This window comes from Homo sapiens, chromosome 5 (genome assembly GCF_000001405.40).
Source record: "Homo sapiens chromosome 5, GRCh38.p14 Primary Assembly".
Taxonomy (NCBI): Eukaryota; Metazoa; Chordata; class Mammalia; order Primates; family Hominidae; genus Homo; species Homo sapiens.
The window spans coordinates 64,844,260-64,866,947 of NC_000005.10; the positions used below are offsets into that span (position 1 = coordinate 64,844,260).

Here is a 22,688-nt window from a genome sequence, read left to right on the forward strand (position 1 = left end):
GAGTCGGGTAGAAATAAAGGAGGCAGAGGTCATATTGACCAGTGCATGGATCTTGACAGTACCTCTGTGTTCCTGACAGCTGTGATGCCTGGTCACAGATACCAGCCAACCTCATAGTTGACCCCCAAAGCTAAGCTAGTTGCCTTGAGAAGGAAGATGGGAAGTTCATCCTAGCTTGAGTCCTTAGGCTGCTAGTTTCCCACCCAGCCTCAGAGCCCACCTCTGTGACCTGCATATGCAGGGGGATGCCCACTTCCTCCCATTTTGGAGAAGTGAAGGGTCTATACCAGTTTGACTTGAGAAGTCAAGCAGCAGCTCCCCTCACCCTCAGCCAAAAAACCTGCTTTACAACCCCACCCAGGCAGAGAGACTCTCCACCTTTATGAATTTCAGAGAATTAAATGGTCTAGACTGACTTGACATGGGTGCTCAAGCAGTGGCTCCATTCAGCCAATAAGCCATTCCAGTGACTTTGCATAGGCAGGGAGATTTCCACTTTCACGCATCTTAGAGAAGCATAGAGCCTAGACCTGTTTGACCCAGGCAGTCAAACAGCCACTCAACTCTGCCACAAAGCAATCCCATGGCTCTACCCTGATAGGGAGGTAATCCTCAATTGTGCATTTCTAAGGGGTACAGCTTCTGGTATTTCTCCTCTCCCAGGAAATTACTCTGCCTAACCTTGGAGCCCAGCCTACAGCCCGGCCCAACTGCAGATCTCAAATAGCAGAATTGCCCATCCAGGGAATACAACTTGCAACTGGCCTGATGAGAAGCCATCACAGTTTCTAGCCATTAACTCTGCCTAATAGCAGAGCCCAGCCACTGATCTCACCAGACAGTGGAGTCTATCCAGCAGCCCCATGTAACATCAGAGGAAAGGCATCTGCCCAGCAAATTAGAGAACTCCCAACAAGCTCTGACTCCCTGGGATCATCACCAGCTGGCCCTTCCCAGGCTAAACTAAATAGTGAACCTCTATCCATGCCAAAGAACACCTATTGTAAAGGCTAGAAGAGGGGGCTTTCTCCTCAAATGCATAGACAATAACACAAGGACACAAGAACTACAAAGAACAAAAGAAATCCCAAAAGAAACTAATAAAGCTTCAGTAATGGACCCCAAAGAAACGGAGATATTTGGAATGACTGAGGAAGAATTTAGAATACTACTCATAAAGATGTTCAGTGATGTACAAGAATATATGGATAGAAAATGTAATAAAATTTGGAAACTGATACCTAACAAAAATAACAAGTTTGACAGAAATAGAAACAATATAAAAGAAACACATATAAATTCTAGAGTTGAGGAATACAATGACTGAACTGAAAAATTCAATAGAAAGCATCATTGGTGGATTTGATAGAGCAGAAGAAAGAATCAATGAGCTGGAAGACAGCATTTGATATTATCCAGTTAGAGGACCAGAAAGACAAAAGAGTGAAAAAGAATGAAGAAAGCTTATGGGACTTATGAGACACCATCAAGAGTTCAAACCTTTGCATACTAGGATTTGCAAAAGAAGAAAGAGAAAAAGGGTCACAAAGCCTATTTAAGGAAAGAATGACTGAAAAATCCCCTAATCTGGGAATAGATGTGAATATCCAGGTACAAGAAGCACAGAAATTTCAATCAAATTCAACACACAGAGGAGTACACCAAGGCATACAATAATCTAGCTGTCAAAAATCAAAGACAAAACATTTTGAGAACAGCAAGAGATAATAAACACATCACATACAAAGGAGACAATATGACTATCAGCAGATTTCCCAGCAGAAACCCAGTAGGCCAGGAGAGAGTGGCATAATATAATTGAAATGCCGGAGGAAAACAAACACAAAAACTACCAATCAAGAATACTTAACCCAGCAAAGCTATCTTTCATAATTGAGAAGGAAATAATACTTTCTCCCTCAGTTTCATGAAACATATGAATTGCAAAACTCAATGGTATATGTAAAATAGTGCCATATTCAGAAAACTGTAGGACTGTAATAATGGTGCATAAGGCAATTTCATCCCTAGTACATGAGTCAAAAAACAAAAATATTAATAGCAGCTATAGCTAAAATAAATTATCAAGGTATACACATTAAAAATGATGTAAATTCTGCCATTAAAAACATAATGTTGAGGGGGTATGAAAAAGTATAGAATTGTTGTATGCAAAGTTAATTGTTGTATGCAAAGTTAAGTTGTTATCAGCTTATACTTGATTGTTTATAAGCTGTTATCAGTTTATACTTGATTGTTTATAAGATGTTCTGTGTAAACCTCATGGTAATCACAAAGCAAAAATCTTTAGTGGAAATATAAAGCAAAAATAGAAAGGATTCAAAGCATACCACTATAGAAAACCATCAAATCACAAAGGAAGACAGCAAGGGAGGAAGACAAAAAAAATTATTTACCAAACATCCAGAAAAAAACTAAGAAAATGGCAATAGGCCGGGCACAGTGGCTCATGCTTGTAATCCCAGCACTTTGGGAGGCCGAGGCAGGCGGATCACTTGAGGTCAGGAGTTTGAGACCAGCCTGGCCAATATGGTGAGACCCTATCTCTACTAAAAATACAAAAATTAGCTGAGCGTGGTGGCATGCACCTGTAATCCCAGCTACTCGGTAGGCTGAGACAGGAGAATCGCTTGAATCCAGGAGGTGGAGGTTGCAGTGAGCCAGGATCACACCACTGCACTCCAGTCTGGGTGACAGAATAAGACTCCATCTCAAAAAAAAAAAAAAAAAAGAAAAAGGAAATGGCAATAGTACATCCTACATATCAATAATTACCTTGCTTATAAATGGATTAAATGCTCTAATAAAAAGACAGTTACTGAATGGATTAAAAAACAAGACTTAGCTATATACTGTATACAAAGATACATCTCACTTTTAAGGATACACATAGATGGAAGCTGAAGGGATAGATAGATATTCCATGCAAATTCAAACCAAAAGAGAGTAGGGGTAGCTATACATACATAAGACAAAGTTGATTTTAAGTCAAAACCCATAAAATGAGACAAAGGACATTACACAATGATGAAGGGGTCAATTTACCAAAAGGATACAACAATTATAAATATGTTTGCATCTAACATTGGAGCATCTAAATATATAAAACAAAGATAAAAAGATCTGAAGGGAGAAATAGATTGCAGCACAATAACAACAGGGGACTTCTATACCTCACTTTCAAAAATGGACAGATTAGCAATCCAGAAAATTAATAAGGAAACACTGGACTGTAACAATACTTTTGACCAAAGGGACCTCACAGACATATATTAAAACATTCCGTTCAACAGCAACAGAATACAAATTTTCCTTGAGGACACACAGAACATTCTTCAGCTTAGATAACAAAATAAGCCCCAGCAAATTTAAGATGATTCAAATTATATTAAGTATATTTTCTGACCACAATGATATGAAGGTAGAAATCAATAACAGGAAGAATTTTGGAAAAATTTAAAAATACATGGAAATTGCACAACATGTTTCTAAAAACAAATGGGTCAATGAAGAAATTAAATGGGAAATTTAAAAATATATTGGGAAAAATGAAAATGTAAATACAACATACTAAGACTTACGGGATACAGCAAAAGCAGTTCTATGAGGAATGTTTATAGCAAAAAAAAAATATCAAAAAAGAGAGAAAGATCTCAAACAACTTAATGTTACAACTCAAGGAAATAGGAAAAAGAACAAACTAAGCCTAAAGCTAGGAGAGAAAAAATACAATAAAGATCAGAGCAGGGATAAAGAAATAGAGACTAGAAAAATAATACAAAACATTAACAAAATTAAGGGTTGATTTTTGAAAAAATAAAATTGACAGATTTTAGCTAACTTAAGAGAAAAGGAGAGAAGGGTAAAATAAATAAAATCAGAAATTAAAAGAGAAGACAGTAGAACTGATACCATGGAAATACCAAAGATCATAAGAGACTATTATAAACAATTATGCACCAACATATAGGACAACCTAGGAGAAATGGATAAATTCCTAGACATATACCACCTACCAAGAAGCTGAACAGACCAATAATGAGTAAGCAGATTGAATTAGTAATTCTTAAGATCTCCCACCAAAGGAAAGCACAGCCATGGTAGTTTCACAGCTGAATTATAGTAAACATTTAAAGAACTGATATCAATCCTTCTCAAACTCTTCCAGAAAACCAAAGAGGAGGGAATACTTTCAAACCCTTTTTATGAGTCCAGCATTGCTGTGATACCAAAGCCAGACAGTGATGTTACCAGAAAAGCAAATTACAAGTCAATATTCGTGATGAGCATAGATGCAAAAATCCTCAAGAAAATACTGGAAAACCAAATTCAATTATACATTAAAAGGATTCTCTACCATGATCAAATGGGATTTATCCCTGAGATACACAAAAGACTCAACATACACAAATCAATAAATGTGGTACATCACATTAACAAAATGAAGTATAAAAACCATGTGATCATGTCACTAGATGCAGGAAAAGCATTTGATAAAATTCAACATTCTTTTATTATAAAAAGTCACCAAATTAGGTATAGAAGGAATGTGCCTCAACACAATAAAAACCATGTAAGAGAAGCCTACAGCTAATAATATACTCAATGGTGAAAAAGCTGAAAGCTTTTTCTCTTAAAATCTGAAACAAGGTAAGGATGCCCATTCTCACCACTTCTATTCAGATAGCACTAGAATTCCTTTCCAGAGCAGACAGCCAAGAGAAAGAAATAAAAGGCACACAAATAGGAAAGGAAGAAGTAACATTGTGAATGTTTGCTGACAACACAATGTTATATGTAGAAAACTCTACAGACTCCACCAAAGAGCTATTTGAACTAATAAAGTTGCAGGATACAAAATCAACACAAAGAGCAGTAGCACTTCTGTACACTAACAATGAACTATCTGAAAAAGAAATCAAAAGAACACTCCTATTTCCAATAGCTACCAAAAAAAAAAAAAAGATAAGAAATTAGGAATAAATTTAACTATGAAGGTGAAAGACCTGTACACTGAAAACTGTAAAAAGAAATTAAAGAAGACAAAGAAATGGAAAGATATCACATGTTCTTGTATTGGAAGAATTAATGTTGTTAAAATGTACATACTAATTGATATGGTTTGGATCTGTGTCCCTGTTCAAATCTCATGTTGAATTGTAATCCTCAGTATTGGAGTTGGGACCTGGTGGGAGGTGATTAGATCATGGGGGTGGTTTCTCATGAATGGGTTAGCACCATCCCTCTAGTGCTGTTCTCGTGAAAGAGTTCTCACAAGATCTAGTTGTTTAAAAGTATGCAGCACCTCCAATGGGAGAACACACTAATACACTACCCAAAGTCATTGATATGGTTTGGCTGCATGTCCCCACCCAAATCTCGTCTCAAATTGTAATTCCCCCATGTCAAGGGAGGGACCTGGTGGGGGGGTGATAGGATCATGGGGGAGGTTTTGCCCATGCTGTTCTCGTGATAGTGAGTTCTCATGAGATCTGATAGTTTAAAAGTGTGTGGCAGTTCTCTCTCTCTCTCTCTCCTGTCACCTGGTGAAGAAGGTGCTTCCTTTTCCTTTGCCTTCTGCCATGATTGTCAGTTTCCTGAGGCCTTCCCAGCCATCTGGAACTGTGAGTCAATTAAACCTCTTTTCTTTATAAAATAACTCAGTCTCAGGTAGTTCTTTATAGCAGTGTGAGAATGGACCAATATGGTGATCTATGGATTTAATGCAATCACTATGAAAAGTCCAATGTTACTTTTCTTAGAAATAGAAAAAATAATCTTAAAATTCATATGAAACTACATACAAACACACACACAAAAATCCCTTAAATAGCCAAGGCAATTATGAGCAGAGAGAGCTAAGCTGGAGGTATCATACTACCTGATTTTAAACTATACTACCTATACTACAAAGTTGTAGTAATTAAAACAGCTTGGTACTGGCCAAAAAAAAAGACCCGTCAACCAATTGAAGGGCATAATAGAAAACTCAGAAACAAACCCATGCATGTATGATCAATTGATTTTTGACAAAGGGCCAAAAACCTGCATTGGGAAAAGGATAGTCTCATCAATAAGTGGTTTTGGGAAAACTGGATATCCACATGGAGAATAATGATATTGGGCCCATATACAAAAATCAACACTAAATAAGTAGGCTTAATCTTAAGACCAGAAACTGTAAATCTGACAGAAGAAAACATAGGGGGAAAATGACATATTAGTACAGTTAATGATATTTTGGATTTGACAAGAGGTAACAAACGCAAAAATAGATAAGTGGGATTACATCCACTGAAAAGCTTCCACACAGCAAAGGAAACAATTAACAGTGTGCAGAGTCAAACTACAATCGGGAAAAAAATATTTGCAAGCCAGACGTCTAATAAAGGGTTAATGTCTAAAATATATAAGGAGCTCAAACAACTTAATAGCAAGAAAACAAAACAAAAAAATTAAAACCTGGGGACGGGACCTGAAAAGACATTTCTCAAAAAAAGACACAAATGGCCAACAGATACATGAAAAAATGTTCAACATCACTAATGATTAGGTAAATGCAAATTAAAACCATGATGAGATATCACCTCACACCTGTCAGAATGGCTATCAAAAAAAAGTAAAGTGTTGGCAAGGATGTGGAGAAAAGGGAACCCTTGTACACTGTTGGTGGGAATGTAAATTAGTACAGCCATTATGAAAACTGTATGATGATTCCTCAAAAATCTAACATTAGCATTATATGAATCAGAAATACCACTTTTAGATATTCACCTAAACGATTTGAAATTCATTTGTTGAAGAGATGTCTACACTACATGTTCATTGCAGCACTATTCACAGTCGCCAAGTTACGGACTCAACTTAAGTGTCCATAAACAAATGAATATGTAAGGAAAATGTGGTGTATTGTGTATGCACAACGGAATACTTTTCAGCTTTGCAAAAGAAGGAAATTCTGTCACTGGCAACATCGATGGAACTGGAGAACATTATGCTAAGTGAAGTAAGCCAGGCACAGAAAGACAAATACCCTGTGTTCTCACTTATATGTGGACTCAAACAGTTAAACTCATAGAAGCACAGTAGAATGGTGGTAAGAGAAGCTGGAGGGGTGGGAGGAATAGGGAGACGATGCTCACAGGGTTCAAAATCATACAGGAGTGATATGTTGTTGGTTTGTTTTTTAGTTCTATTGCACAGCATCGTTAATGTAGTTAACAATGGAGTATTATACATCTCAAAATGGCTAAGAAAATGAGTATCTAATGTTCTCACCACAGAAGTATGTTAAGTATTTGAAGTGATGGATGTTAACTAGCTTGATTTAATTTTTCCACATTGTATTCATAAATCATAACATCACTTTGTACTCCAAAAATTTATACAATTATAAATTATCAATTTACAATTTTAAAAAATACTAGAAAATGTTTGAAAGGCATCAAACTTAGCTATATGATTTAATTTAGATGCTAGCTAAGCAATACCAAGTAAAAATCTTTACTCATTTTAATTCAAGATGTATTGAATACTTACTAAGTGCAAGGAAGTATGCAGAATGCTCATTTATTTGATACTTTGTTGGAAAGTTAACTATATTGAATTTATCTCACTCGTTTTCTTTTGTCTTTTAAAGGTGAGAATTCTAACTCTTTTAGAAACTAATAACAGTTTCAATTAAGTTCTTGAAACCAGATTTTCAGAAAAGTTTATAAACAACTATTTCAGTGTATGACATAGCCTTTCAGTATAATTTGGAGAGCATGATATTGTTACCTGAATTACTTCTCTTTCTACTACTAGTAGATAATAATCTTCTACTAGTATTAAAACACAGAAATGTTCTTAGAGAGGGAAACATAAGTAACTGGTTAGAGTGCTTCAGTAATTTTGTATCTGCTACTAACTAATGCCTCGTATTTGGTCATGTTTTTATGTGCACAAATAAACCAAAAGATCACAGTGACTAAAAATGTTTTAATAACTTTAGGTTGTATACATACTGAATGGCTAAAATCTCCAGCATAAATGAAAATGAAATAAATGGCTACTAATAAAATAGTATGCCTCTATCATATTCTTCAGCCCAAAGCATTTTTGCTGACAGCATTTATTAGATATCTAAGATCTACTTCAGGGAGGGACAAAAGAGCCAAACAGTGTTTTCAGAGTCAGATGCTTAAAGGACGAAAACCTTTTTTTTTTTTTGAGACAGTCTGTCTCTGTTGCAGAGGCTGGAGTGCAGCGGCGTGATCTCGGCACACTGCAACCTCCACCTCCCAAGTTCAAGTGATTCTCCTGCCTTAGCCTCTGGAGTAGCTGGGATTACAGGCACCTGCCACCATGCCCCAGCTAATTTTTGTATCTTTAGGAGAGATAGGGTTTCACCATGTTGGTCAGGTTGGTCTTGAACTCCTGACCTCAGGTGATCTGTTTGCCTCGGCCTCCCAAAGTGCTGGAATTACAGGCGTGAGCCACTGCTCCCGGCCACCTTTTTTTTTTTTTAATTAAATTAAGGGCTTTTCATATTTTCATTTTCAAATAAAAGCAAACCCAAACATAAATAATTTGAAATAAATTACTGTTCCTTTGAAAACTTCTAATTACAACATTTTGAATTCTTTTAAGAGAAAATGACTTAGAATTGTATGGGTCCCATTCCCTATCCTTTAGGGCATTGATTCAATGAACTTGCTGACAAAGAAACTACAGACTATGGTATTATGGCATTCTCCCCTAACTCCTTACATTGAAAAGTATTCACATGAAAGAAGGACTTGGTTATTTCTATTCTCTCTAGGGTTCCTAAGGACAGAATCAGGATTGGTGAGTCAAAGTGACTAGGCGGCAGATTTGGGCTCAACAATATGGAAAAACTTTCTAACAGGTAGACCAGGTCCAAAATGGAATAAATCTGTGATATCAGAAAGCTGAAACATGGACAGTTTTATTTGTGGGTATATAATAAATTAACTTTATTGCTTCTTTTGACTTGAATCATGAACCTCTGTTTCTGCCTGAGGGAGCATTGCAAAACTTCTCGACCCTATTTCAACAGATGACCAAGAATTTAATTCTCTTCATATTTATTGAGCACTATCATATGCAAAGCATTGACATAATCTTCTTGTCCCCCCTTCATAGAATGCAAATTTTTTGAAATTTTTATTTTTAATTATGGTAATATACATATAACATAAAATTTACCATCTTAACCATTATATTAGTCCATTCTTATGTTGCTATAAAGAAATATTTGAGGGTAAGTAATGTCTAAGGAAAAGAGGTTTAATTTGCTTACAGTTCTGTAGGCTGTAAGCATGATATCAACATCTGCTTGGCTTCGGGTGAAGTCCTCAGGAAGCTTACAATTATGGTGGAAGGTGATGGGGAGCCAGCATGTTTTAAACAACCAGATCTCGTGAGAACTCACTCATTGTCAGGAGGACAGCAACAAACCATTCAGGAAGGATCTGCCCCCATGACCCAAACACCTCCCACCAGGGCCAACCTTCAAAACTGGGGATGACATTTCAACATGAGAGTTGGAGGAGACAAACATCCAAACTATATCAACGGTTTTTAAGTTAAGTCATGTTAGGTATATTCACATTGTTGTGCAACCAAACTCCGAAACTTTTTCCTCTGGCAAAACTGAAACTCTGTACCTATTAAATAACGCCTCATTTCCCTGTGCCCTCAGCCTCTGACAGCCACCATTCTACTTTCTGTTTCTATTAATTCAGTTACTCTAGACACTTCATGTAAGTGGAATCATGCAGTCTTTTCTGTGACTGGCTTATTTTACTTAGCGTAATCTTCTCAAAGTTTATGCAGGTCATACTATGTATCAGTTTCCTTTTTAAGGCTGGATAACATTCCGTTTTATGTATATACCAAATTTTCTTTATTCCTTCATCCGCTGATGGACATTTAGGTTGCTTCCACCTCTTGGCTGTTGTGGATAATGCTGCTATCAACGTGTGTGTGCAAAAATCTTCAATTCTTTTGAATATATACCTAGACTTGGGATTGCTGGGCCATGTGGCCATTCTGCTTTAAATATTTTGAGGAAGTGCTATACTGTTTTTCATAGCAACTGCATCGTTTTGCATTCCCACCATCAATGCATAAGGGTTCCAATTTCTCTACATCCTTACCACCACTTGTTATTTCTGCTTTTTAAAATAGTGACCATTTTAAGAGGTGTGAGAAATATTGACATAATTCTGACTTCAGTGCCCTGTGCAAAAAACTATACATAACAGCTACTGAATAAAAGCTTATGATTGAGATGGACTGAAACTTTTGGTTTTCATAATGTTTGCTTTATAAAGTTGATCTTGGATAGAGATTATTAATACAGTCTATGTTCTGTGCTTCAGGATGAAATAAAGACACATCTTAGAAATAGCTCTTCTTACGGCTGTTACTATATTTCAGTTTTCAGCATGGATGTTGATTTTTATGTGTTATTCTCATAAATACCCATCACTGTCCTAGCTTAGGGTCATAAGCCATCATGGCTTTAGTAATCTGCTTCTCTCCTTGATTCTAGGAATTTTTTTTTAATAACACTTGGGAAAGATAGACATGCTAATTCCTCTGTAAGAAGACTATTTAGTATACCCTGGAATTAAGGGTTTTGAAGTTCTTTTTTGAAAGATTTATCGTCAAAAAAAAATCTAGTTTAGTATGTCTAGAATTGTGTTGTTTACTTTTTCTCTTTTTGCTTCCTCCCCTGCAATGCCTACAGGCTGATATGAGATCACTGGTGCTGAGAGCCAAGTTTACAGTGAATGTGGTCATGTTTAAACTTTTGCTATCTTTAATAAATGCTTGGTAACCTCAATATTAATGGTCTAACAATTAGCAATTCTAGACCTGTTGAAAAAGAGATGTTGTTGTCATATTTGAAAAAAAAGTGATTTGGGAATAAATAAGAAAAGAGCAGGAAGTTTTCATCTCCAAGTAATTATTCAGAAGAGTGTTTTCAGTAGTATTTTATTTGCAGTGAGTGAAATCAGCATTCTCAGAGACTAGTGTTTGCAACTAGAAAACATGTCTTTCTCTGAACATGTCAGCATAATAAACAGCCAGGTGCTTTGTAGCTACTTCCCATTATATAGATAATGTTGATGTAGAGCAAGATTCAGTGAGTTCTATGTTTAAAATAAAGAGATTTCAGTTAATTTATTGCTTCTTTGAGAGCAATATAAGAAATGTGTAAGGTATAGTTGTCCTTTACCTATGAATCAAAACTAAGTGCCATGAGGAACAAGTAGAACGTCTTTTAAACTTACAGAAGTAAATGTTTGTTGAATAACTACCCAAGCAAGCCTACACAAAGAGGAGTTGGGGATAATCTGGTAATACTATTCCTACTTAAATAATGCCCATCATGACCATTTCACAATAACGTTTTGTTGAGTACAAGAAAATTTCTACAGAAAAACTCTTCAGGTTCTCCTTTTTTTATTTAAAAGAAAAAAAGACAGTTGAGGGTGTGGAGGTATGAATAACTACCAGATCAAATACATGGGAATAACCTTTTTTATTTGGACATTTCCCCTCATACTTGCTTTTAGAGAAAGAAATTCTTTCCTGTTTTAGGCCTCCAAGAGATAAACAGAGAAAGAAAATGGCTGTTCATAAGAAATCCATAATATGAACAAGTCAAACATAAATTCAGCTATCAGGAAGAAGATTGGCTTAAGGGGAGTGTTATTAGCATCACCATCCATCCTCATTAGTCCAAAAGCTTACAGATCATTCTTTTTGGATGCAGATTTTGTGGAGTTTTTAAGATGACTACAAACTCCAATATTAATTATATTTTAAAGCAGATAACTCATTTTCTTTTGAAAAAGCAAATAGATGTCTTTTCATGGGCCAATTTTATCACTAGCACCTAATATCAATATCAATACTTATGGACAATTGTTTTTTAAAATACTTTTTTTAAATGGTAATACACTTATATTTTAATTGAAGCTTTAGTAGACTATATTTCAAATGTGAATAGTTTCCCTAGTTAGGAGAAATATTATACTGTAATTTACTGTAAAACTGATGGAGTCAGTTTTATTAAATTCCCTGAAAACAATTTTCTGTATTTATATTTTGAGAGTTGTTATTCCACTTCTGTATTTGTCTTTAAGAAACTTAGTGTATGTGTGTGTGTATGTGTGTGTGTGTGTGTGTATGTGTGTAGTTCCCAAATTTTAATCTAAACTTATAATAGTTTAGCCTTTCAACAAGTTTTTTTGTTTTTATTTTTTAGTGGTGACATTTTGGAATAAGAAATTTGTGACTTATTGCTCTCTTTGTAAACATAATTTCACAAATAATTTAGGGACTTGGATCATTCAGGGATACCATGTTTATTGGAAGAAAAGATTATATTAAGTAGGTGGCAGTTTAAAGAGGTTGAAATTAAGTTAAAGGTAAGCATTTGGAAGAATATTTGGAAGCAGTAGAAATTGACTAACTTAGTTGTCTACACACAGCCATTTCTATAATAAATTCCATTTTTTTATAACTCTGAAAATCAATTCTGCATTAAATTTTACTATTTCGGTAAATGATCTTCATACAGTAACACTTTGTGATGGACCAGATGTTGCTAGCTTATGTAATTAACCCAGGTGAAAATATAAGTTATGCTGTTGAAAATCTTTAAATGTATAAAAGCAATAAAGAATAGTAGTATTTTAGTAACAAAGAGAAACGTGTAGGTTTACTGCATCTTCTAGCCCATTCTCCCTGAAAAGGTACCATATTGGAGATGTTATAAGCTCATGCTTGATTTAAGGTTTGAATAAGTTAACAGCTGGGCAATATGTTGTTTTAAAGAATAAAGTCTAGGCAGCACCATTTATTATTAGTTTAAATTTCAGTATTCAATTTATTCATCACTGCCTAATAAAGACCCTACTTCCTTTTTCACCAGTTTTACTCACTGACTGATGTTCTATCACTGTCTAAAAGAAGACAAAGACAGATGTCTCTGTGCAGGCAGAAGATGCTCAGTCAGGATAGCTGTGTGATGTCTACCAGGTTTAACAAATTTAGCAATACAAAGCATAAAAAAGTGGACTCCTGAAAAAGATCTGCTGTTAAGTAATTCAAGAATCACACCCTCAAAGATCCTGTTTGTAGTTTTTGGTAACCTGGAGGGCATATCGAGTAGGCACCTATTCAACATAATGTCTAATTTGTTGACACTGAAAAAAGAGTTCAAGATTATACTCAATATATTTGTATAAATAAGGTAGCCTTATTAAACTACAAGAGGCCAGGAAAAAGCAACCTAAAAATGGAAAGCCATTTAGTCAGGTCATATATATCAGAATAGTGGAAGATCAGATCAGAAGTCAGGGACAGATCCAAGTCTCCTGTTAAAAACTCATCGTTGGCCTCATGTTTTCTTCTGGATTTAATAAATGGTTATTAGAATTGTGATTGTGTTTTATATTATTTCAGTATCAGTTGCACTTTAAGGGAATAGCAGGAACTTCAACAAAGTTTAAAATTTCTGTGTATTAAAAGACACTTTTAAAAATGAATAGGGGCCGGGCGCGGTGGCTCACGCTTGTAATCCCAGCACTTTGGGAGGCCGAGGCGGGCGGATCACGAGGTCAGGAGATCGAGACCATCCTGGCTAACACGGTGAAACCCCGTCTCTACTAAAAATACAAAAAAATTAGCCGGGCGTGGTAGCGGGCGCCTGTAGTCCCAGCTACTCGGGAGGCTGAGGCAGGAGAATGGCGTGAACCCGGGAGGCGGAGCTTGCAGTGAGCCGAGATCGCGCCACTGCACTCCAGCCTGGGCGACAGAGCGAGACTCCGTCTCAAAAAAAAAAAAAAAAAAAAAAAAAAATGAATAGGAAGCCGGCCGGGCGTGGTGGCTCATGCCTGTAATCCCAGCACTTTGTGGGGCCGAGGCGGGCGGATCACGAGGTCAGGAGATCGAGACCATCCTGGCTAACACGGTGAAACCCCGTCTCTACTAAAAATACAAAAAAAAATTAGCAGGGCGTGGTGGCGGACGCCTGTAGTCCCAGCTACTCGGGAGGCTGAGGCAGGAGAATGGCATGAACCCGGGAGGCGGAGCTTGCAGTGAGCCAAGATCGCCCCACTGCACTCCAGCCTGGGTGACAGAGTGAGACTCCATCTCAAAATAATAATAATAATAATAATAATAATAATAATAGGAAGCCACAGATTCAGAGAAAATATTGACAACACATATATTTGATAAAAGATTTGTATCTAGAATCTTACCATTCAAAAATAAGACAATGTTTTAAGTGAACAAAATACTTGACCAGACATTCATGAGAAGACAAATTGGGGCCAATAAACACAGAGAAAATATTCAAATCATATTCAGGGCAATACAAATTAAACCACTATGAGATAACACTCACTAGATTGACATTTAAAAAAAAAATGAAAAAACCAGATGTTAGCAAGGATGTAGGGAACCAGGACTGTCAAACACAAGTCACTGGTTGGAGTGAAAATGTGACAAGCAATTTGACAGTCTTTATAAAGTTAAACACATACATATTCTTTATGACCCATCATGCCCAGATATTTATGATACCCAAGTTTTTATCGAAGATATGAAAACATTTGTTCACAAAAAGATCTGCACATGTGCATCATAGCAGTTCATAATAGCCAAACACTGGAAGCAACCCAAATTTACTTTAATAGGATAATAAGTAAACAATTATTGGAAATGTTTATGGAATGTATTGGAAATGTTTATGGAGTACTAGTTAGTAATAAAAAGATACAAACTACTGACACTACAGTAATTTCTGTGAATCTCAAAAATACTTTGTGTTGAGTGAAGAAGCCTGACATTAAAAAGAACATAGTGCATGATTCTATTTATTTGAATTGTTAGAAGTAGCAACTAATCTATGATGATAGAAAGCAGAACAGTGGTTGTGGGAGGGGGTGGTGGCAGTGGCAGGGAGGAGGGATGTTAGAGATTATGTGGAAAGTGGTACAAAGGAACTTTATGAGATGACAAAAAAACATTCTAGGAGGTTGGGTTAGACAGGTGTATCCATCTGTCAAATCTTGTTGAACTATATACACTCGAGATACAGCTGATTACACTATAAATTATATCTCAAAGGAAAAAAAGTTTTAAAAATGTTTCAAAGCAGCAAAACCTGATTAGAATTCCAAAATATTGGAGAAGAAGAAACACTTCTAAATTCAATCTGTAAGGCAAGTATTACCCTGATACCAAAGCTAGGCAAACACAGTATAAGAATTGATAGTAGAATGGCAAGTATGACTATAGTGATAAAAGTAGATATATCAGGAATGGTAGAGTGTTTTCAGCATATTACTAAAAACTAAAGAGATCATTTATATCAAGGTTTGTCTAAGGAAGGTACTGTGTGTGCAGCAGCATTCTAGAAGCAGAATCAGATGATTTCTTAAGATCCTCTCCTATTCTTTCCTATTAGGATTCTATTATTATGAGTGCTTATTATGTCTCAGGGGCTGTACTGAATCCTGTATGTTCATTTTTTTCATTCTTAGACCATTTCCAGAGAACATGAAAGTTTAAAATGTGATTGCTCTTTTGAAATAGTAGTATCAACATTTTATTGTTGACAAAGTTAAAATATAACAATAGTAACAAGTGTTTATTTGGCCCATCCTTGTATACACTCTAATATGTTAACTCTAAACCTTCACAACAACCCTACAAGGTAGTTACTATGGTTAGGCCCATTTTTAAATTGAGGAGTCACAGTCACAAGCTAAAAAGTGCCAGAGCCAAAATTCCAGCCCTGGAGTTTCACTTCAGATAACCATGCATTTAACTGCTATGCCATTCTTACCCACCATTACATTCTTAACCTTAACAAGTCCTTACAATTTAATAATGTTATTTATTTGCTGATATTTAAATGAATTAAAATTAATGGAAGAATTACAATATTTAATATGATACTAGATTTTTAAATATATTGAAAACCTCAATATGAATAAAATGCAAAAATTATTAGCATTTATAGTAAACAAAACACAAAACATCTCTATCTGTCTAAACAAAGCTTTTGTCTACCCCGACTGTTGGGGCTAAGTGCCTGTGTTACCCTATGAACTGCCCTTGGTTTGATTTCTAATCATACCACCATTGTGTGATAGATATCAGGATAAAGCTGAAATGCCAGGTCAGACTCCAGATTTTCTGGTTAGATTTTCAGTTTTACTTTTGGCTGTTTTGACCATGTTTTATGATGGGTACCTAGTCAACATAAGTAACTCATTAGGATCAGCTCTACTTTTTAATGCTGTTGATATAACATCAGTCTTTCTGGCTTAAAATTTCTTATAAAATTTTTGAATGAGTATTTTGCATATATAACTGTGTTTTAAAGTTATACTGTAAACACTTGTATTTCTTCATAACTTTAAGTACTTTGGTCCAACTCTTTATCTGCAGAGTTTGAAATATTAATGAATTTCATCAAAATATATAATTAGTTGATAAACTGTGAGTGCTCTTGGTATGTTATCATCATACAAATAACTATACATTATAGTATAATCCCGTTTCAGTTATCTATTGCTGTGTAAAAATGACCTCAAACTCAGTAACTAAAACAAGCAGCTCATAATTTTTTTAGGTCAGAGATTTGGATAAGGTACAAATTGGATGGTTCATAATGTTCTGCAATATCTGGGACCTTAGTTGGGGCTCCTCAAATGGTTAGGAGCTGCCTAGAATACTCCGTGGATGTTTCAACCCGTAGGGTCATATGTCTCAAGCCTTGACTCTGCCTGTTGGACCAAATGCTTAGTTCTCCATGTGTGGCTTTTCCATGTGCTACCTTTGGTTTTTTCACAACATGGTGGTCTCGGTTTCTAAGAAGACATATTCCTAAAGTATCAACTCTAATGTCCTAGCAGTTATCAAGCCTCTTCTTATTTTTTTTTTTCACTCACCACCATACTAATAAGGATCAAGCCTCTTCTTGCATCAGAATTTTTTTGTGTGGCCAAATCAGATATATATATATATAAAACCAATCTTCTCTATTATAGAGTTATGTTTTTTCTTAGCAGGTATCTCATGGTCAGGCCTAGAGTCAATGTGGGAAGAGACTATACAAGGGTATGAATCACTTGTACACTTATACTTATGTGTAAGTGATGGTTCACTGGAAACCACCAATGTACCAAAACAGTTGACTAAACATGCTTAGCACACTTCTGTGTTCATATCAGGTACTCTGTACTTAGTGATTGATTTAAAAATCAAGGACATTTTTATATATGCTTTTTCTATTTATGTGAATTGTTACATTTTGCCACATTAACCTTTAATATATGAATAAAGTTAAAACAATGAAGAGACTTGAGTAAGTACTGTTTCTAATGGATATCCTAGAACTGAGGTCCTTCTATGTGCTTCCATTAACAGCAACATAATACCAGGTCTCAACTGCCATTGTGCTGCCTTACATTATACTTCCATGTAATAGTTGCATTGCTATAGGAATATAGGTTACTAAACTATCATTCTCATTACTTTCCAAAGAAATGTTCAATATCATGCTATTTAAAGACTAAATATGATAACGATTTTAATACAATGTCATTCTTCTAATGTTACATAGATACATGTATTTATCCTGTGCATCTTGGTATGAGGATTTAAAAATCCATTTTAGGGGAAAGTTTTGTGTGCAGAGCACAGAGCGCTAGATATCAAGTAGGTTTATGTAAATAGTATATTGCTTCATGTTGTTGGTGCCATATAACAGAATCCTTTCTGCTAATTTAAGTCACAAATGAATATATCAAAATGATATCAGCAAACCCACGGAATGTACGGGAAGGCCAAAGAGCCAGGCTGAGTCAGGATGCAAGGCACTGCCTACCTGACAATGTAACTACTAGGAATCTGCCTCTGCAGTTGCTGACACAGCCACACTGCATATTTATGGACTCCATGCTACTATGGCCAGCGCAAATAATCTTTTATCTTATTAAAAATAATTTAGGCATATCAGGAAGTAAATATAATATACCCTTCCTCAAAAACAAACAAAACCCTAGAAGAAAACACTCATATACTTATCACTTGGATTAAACAATGATTGATAGTTTGCTGTATTTGCATTAAAATACTTCAACACAGAAATAAATTACAGAAGTCATGTTTTACCACTAAAAATATGAATATGAATACCTTAAAATGGAAAAACTTATATAACCATACTAAAATTCATATATGTAATGAATTAATAATTCCCTAATAATCATCTAATACCCAGCCCATATTCAAATTTTCCCAGGTGTTTGCAAAATGTTTTTTATAGCTTGTCTGTATATGTCCAGATCCAGTCAAGGTTTACATGTTGAATTTTTTTTAGTCTCTTGAGTTTTGCTTTAGACCATTCAAGCTACTTTAACAAAATACCATCAACTGGGTGGCTTATAAACAAGAAAAGAGAAATTTCTTTCTCTCAGTTCTTGAGGCTGAGAAGTCCAAGATCAAGGCATTAGCAGATTTGGTGTCTCGTGAGGGCCTATTTCCTGGTTCATAGATGGCCATCTTCTCATTGTGTCCTCATGTGGTGGACAGGATAAGAAACCTTTCTGGGATTTTTTATAAGAGCATTAAACCCATTTGTGAGGGCTTCACCCTCAGGACCTACTCACCTTCCAAAGTCCCCACCTCCAAATACCATCACACTGGGAATTAAGTTTCAACATATGAATATGGGAAGGACAAAAATATTCAGTATCTCCTACCCTTTTAATTTTTCTCATACCTTTGACTTGATAAAGTTGGGCTAGTTGTCCTGTATAGAATGACTCACGTTCTGGACTTGTTAGATTTTTTTCTATGTAGCATCATGTAACTTGTTCCTCTATCATCTGTATTTTCTGCTACCTATAAGTTAGATTTAAAAGCTTGGTTCAGATTAAACATTCTTGGGATGGGTGATACTGTGATGGGCGACACTGCTTACAGTGTTAAATTAAGGGTTTGTATGATGTCTACTTACCTCTCTTTTACTCAAGACTAATAAAATACATTCAGGTATTTTGTTTCTTTTCTCTCCTCCTCTGTTCTCCCCTACTCTGCCCTCCCCACCTTTCCTCTCCCCTACACCCTCCCTTTCCCTGTGCTCTTCCCATCCCCTCTCCTCCTCTCCCCTCCTCTTGTTCTTCTTTACAACAGGATATCACTCTGTTTCCCAAGCCGGAATGCAGTGGTGTGATCATAGCTCACTGGATTCTTGAACTCCTGGGCTCAAGTGATCCTTCCACGTCAGCCTCCCGAGTAGCTATGACTATGGGAACGCACCATCATGCCTTGCTACTTTTTAAATTTTTTGCCACTCCTCACTATGTTGCCCAGGCTGGTCTCAAACTCCTGGCTTCAAGTGATCCTCCCACTTTGGCCTCCAAGAGTGCTGGGGTTACAGGCATGAGACACTGCATTCAGCCCTTCTCTAATTTAGAGTTATGCTTTTCTTAGCAGATATTCTATGAAGTAATACTTTGATATCACATGAATATATAGTTTCCCATCAATCCTTTATGTAAAAATTTTGCCATCCATTGGTGATTCTTGTCCTGAATCAGTTACTTCAGTAGGAGTTGCAAAATAATTATTTTCTGTCGTTCCATTTATATTTATTATCTTGCATTCATCTATAAAGAAAAGCTTTCACTCATCAACTGAGGCTTTGATTATTTTGAGATATGCTTCCTGTAGAAAAGCCTGCATAATTCTTATTTTTTTATTACCAATTTTTTATAATAACAATTGCGATAGTCACCTCTAAGGGTGGCAAATGAGGTTTTCTTATTTGTATATCTGGCTTTATCTTTTATGAGTATTATTTATGCCTCGTGGATTTTTATATTTTCAATATGATTACATAAATGATAGCCATTATTCTTTTTGAAAGTCAAATCATCTCAACTTCGGCCTCTTTTACTTTTCCAATATTTCAAGATTTAGAGTCCTGGGCAAGAGCACCTCCTTGGCTCTGCCAAGGTCATCTATGCATGCCCTGGCTGGCAAGTGAATAAGATAAGATCTTTCCAGGTCATGGGTTTCTGAAGTGGGTGGCAGTTTTGCCTTCAAACTACCTTGGGATTCTTTTAAAATACAGAGGCTATTTGGGTGCTGCTTGGCCCAAACAACAAATGCTCCCACTACAGTATTAGAGCCTCTGAATTTATATTTTCTAATATCTTCCTTTAGAGCCTGAAAAGTTAATTTCCCAGATGTCACCTACCCATATGTTAATATGTTTTATGGCATAATTAGTGTTATTTGTTATAAATTTCCGAATTAGGATAAGTAGTATTTTTACTTAAGTTGTTTTTAGTAGGTCTCAGGTATTGTGGATTAATCCTAATCCTTGGTTCACAATGCATTTCGTCACTAAGAAATACATTTTTAGAAAAATTTTAAGTGACAAATAATAATTGTGTATACTTATGGGGTACAATGTGAGGTTTTAATATATGTATATATTGTGGTATGATTAAATCAAGCTAATTAACATATCCATCACCTCATATCCTTGTTTTATGGTGAGAACATTTGAAATTTACTCTCAGCAATTTTGACATATACAATGCATTATTATTAACCATGGTCATCATGTTGTGCAGTAGATCTCAAAAATGTATGCCTCCTATATAATTGAAATGTTGATCAAAGAGAAAAATGTTTAAGATTATTTTTGAAATAGTTATTCCACAAATATTTATTATGCATCAACTGTGTATCTGGTACAAAATACAGTGCAACATGCTAAGGGCATTAAAAAAAAAAAAACTTGGGGTAACAGCAAACATAGAAAAGTATTACTTTGTTTGGCTGAATAGACTACATTAACATTTACAGTGAGACAGGATGTGGCCCTTGGTTGTTAAATATTCAGGGAATAAATAACCTCAGAAAGACTGTGATTTCATCAAACTCACACAAATAACTAGTGGAGTGAGCCCAAATGGCCCACTTCTCAGTCTTTTTCTAAGAATTGTGTGTTCAGTTTTGGAAGAATTATTTTGAAGTTCCATAGTAGAAGTTAGTTAGTATTCACCTATAAGTGTTCTGTGGTATAAATATATAAAGGGAAAGAAAGGATATTCATGATATAGCATAGGATTTGACATAATTTTGCCTAATTTATATAGATTGGTATGACATAAAGTAGGACTTTGGGAATGGATGTGATTGGAAACGGTGATGTCAAATAGGGGAATTTAAATGATTGAATCATTGGTTAATTTTGTTATTGGGATAAACTTGAGAGTAAATTTGCCTTATTTTTAGAGGGAAGATGGTTTAATTTTTGGTTTAAGGGCTAAATCTCTCGATTTTTTACTTTATAATGTTAAAGTTTTATTCATAAAGCTACGCATTACTGGTAATTATTCTGGGCTCTAACAGCCAACAAATGAGCAAAGAAGAGTCACGTTGGGCATATTTTTCAGGATGTGATGAATCTGTCTAGTCATATATATAAACATTATCTTCTTGAAATATTAATGTTAAAATAACAGTACATCTTGAATCATCTTTTAATGGCTCTGCTTATTTTGAAGTCTTCCAGCCACATCTGTCATATGGTGTGCCTTACAAGAAAATGAATCTGGTTTTAAAATGTTTAGAACTCAGAATAAGTCATTTTAACCAAAGCATATTAGAAAGCCTTAGTTAAAATAATTACAAATGTACATAACAGAGATTTTACAAGTCACTGGAACTTGAGAACCCGTCTGTCAAGGAGATTTTTTAATTAGAGGCTTGGTTTTCATATCTATAAAGCAGATGATAAGCCCATGACCTGCCCACTCTCTGAGACTCCAGTTAGATTATATGTGTACACATACTTTGCTGATATGATTTGAACGTATGATTCAGAAACCAAAGCTGGTGATTTTTCTCCCCAAATCATCACATTAACTTGTAGGACTCCCAGAAGTACAGTTCCCAATTGGTAATTGACAAGAGAGATCACTGGTTGATTCTTTTCTAAATATGGCATATAGTACCTAGCAGGAAAAAAATACCAGGAAAGTACTAGGCTATAAGAATAACTGTATTGATGACTTATGTTTTACCTAAGGCTTAAGATGTGACAAAGCAGTACACTGTACTTCTCTAGTTTTTTAGGGTAGAAGGTTATGTTATTGATTTAAAATCCTTCTTCTTTTTTAACATAGGCATTTACTTACAGGTATAAATTTCCCTCTAAGTATGTTTTAGCTGCATCCTGTAAGTTTTAGTATGTTGGGCTGTCATTTCATTCAACTCAGAGTACCTTGATTTCCCCGTGAGTTCTTCTTTGATCCATTGGTTGTTTAGGAATATGTTGTTAATTTCCACGTATTTGTGAATTTCCCAAATTTCTCTCTATTATTGACTTCTAATTTCATTCCATGTGGTTGGAGAACATCATATGATTTCAATGCTTTAAATATATTGAGGCCCATTTTATGTGTTAGAATATTGTCAATCTTGAGACCGTTTCATATGCATTTGAGAAGAATGTATATTCTGTTCTCATCAGATAAAGTGTTCTATAGATTAGAGCCCACACCTTTGATCACTCACTACAAGGTATGAGGAGGAATGTAGGA

The 22,688-nt window shown here is 35.5% G+C and overlaps 1 protein-coding gene across 4 annotated transcripts in view; it reads left to right on the forward strand.

The window, feature by feature from the left end:
* Window positions 1-22,688, forward strand: part of CWC27 (CWC27 spliceosome associated cyclophilin) — a 249,846-nt gene that overhangs the window by 75,342 nt on the left and 151,816 nt on the right. Inside the window, exon 11 of one of the 4 annotated variants that reach the window (NM_001318000.2) lies at window positions 664-2,435. The exons of the other annotated variants lie outside the window; for them this stretch is intronic. Within the exon in view, the coding sequence (NP_001304929.1) occupies window positions 664-727 (64 nt within the window). The 3' untranslated portion in view covers window positions 728-2,435. Of the gene's footprint in view, window positions 1-663; window positions 2,436-22,688 lie in introns of those variants that run through there. 4 annotated transcript variants of the gene reach the window in all.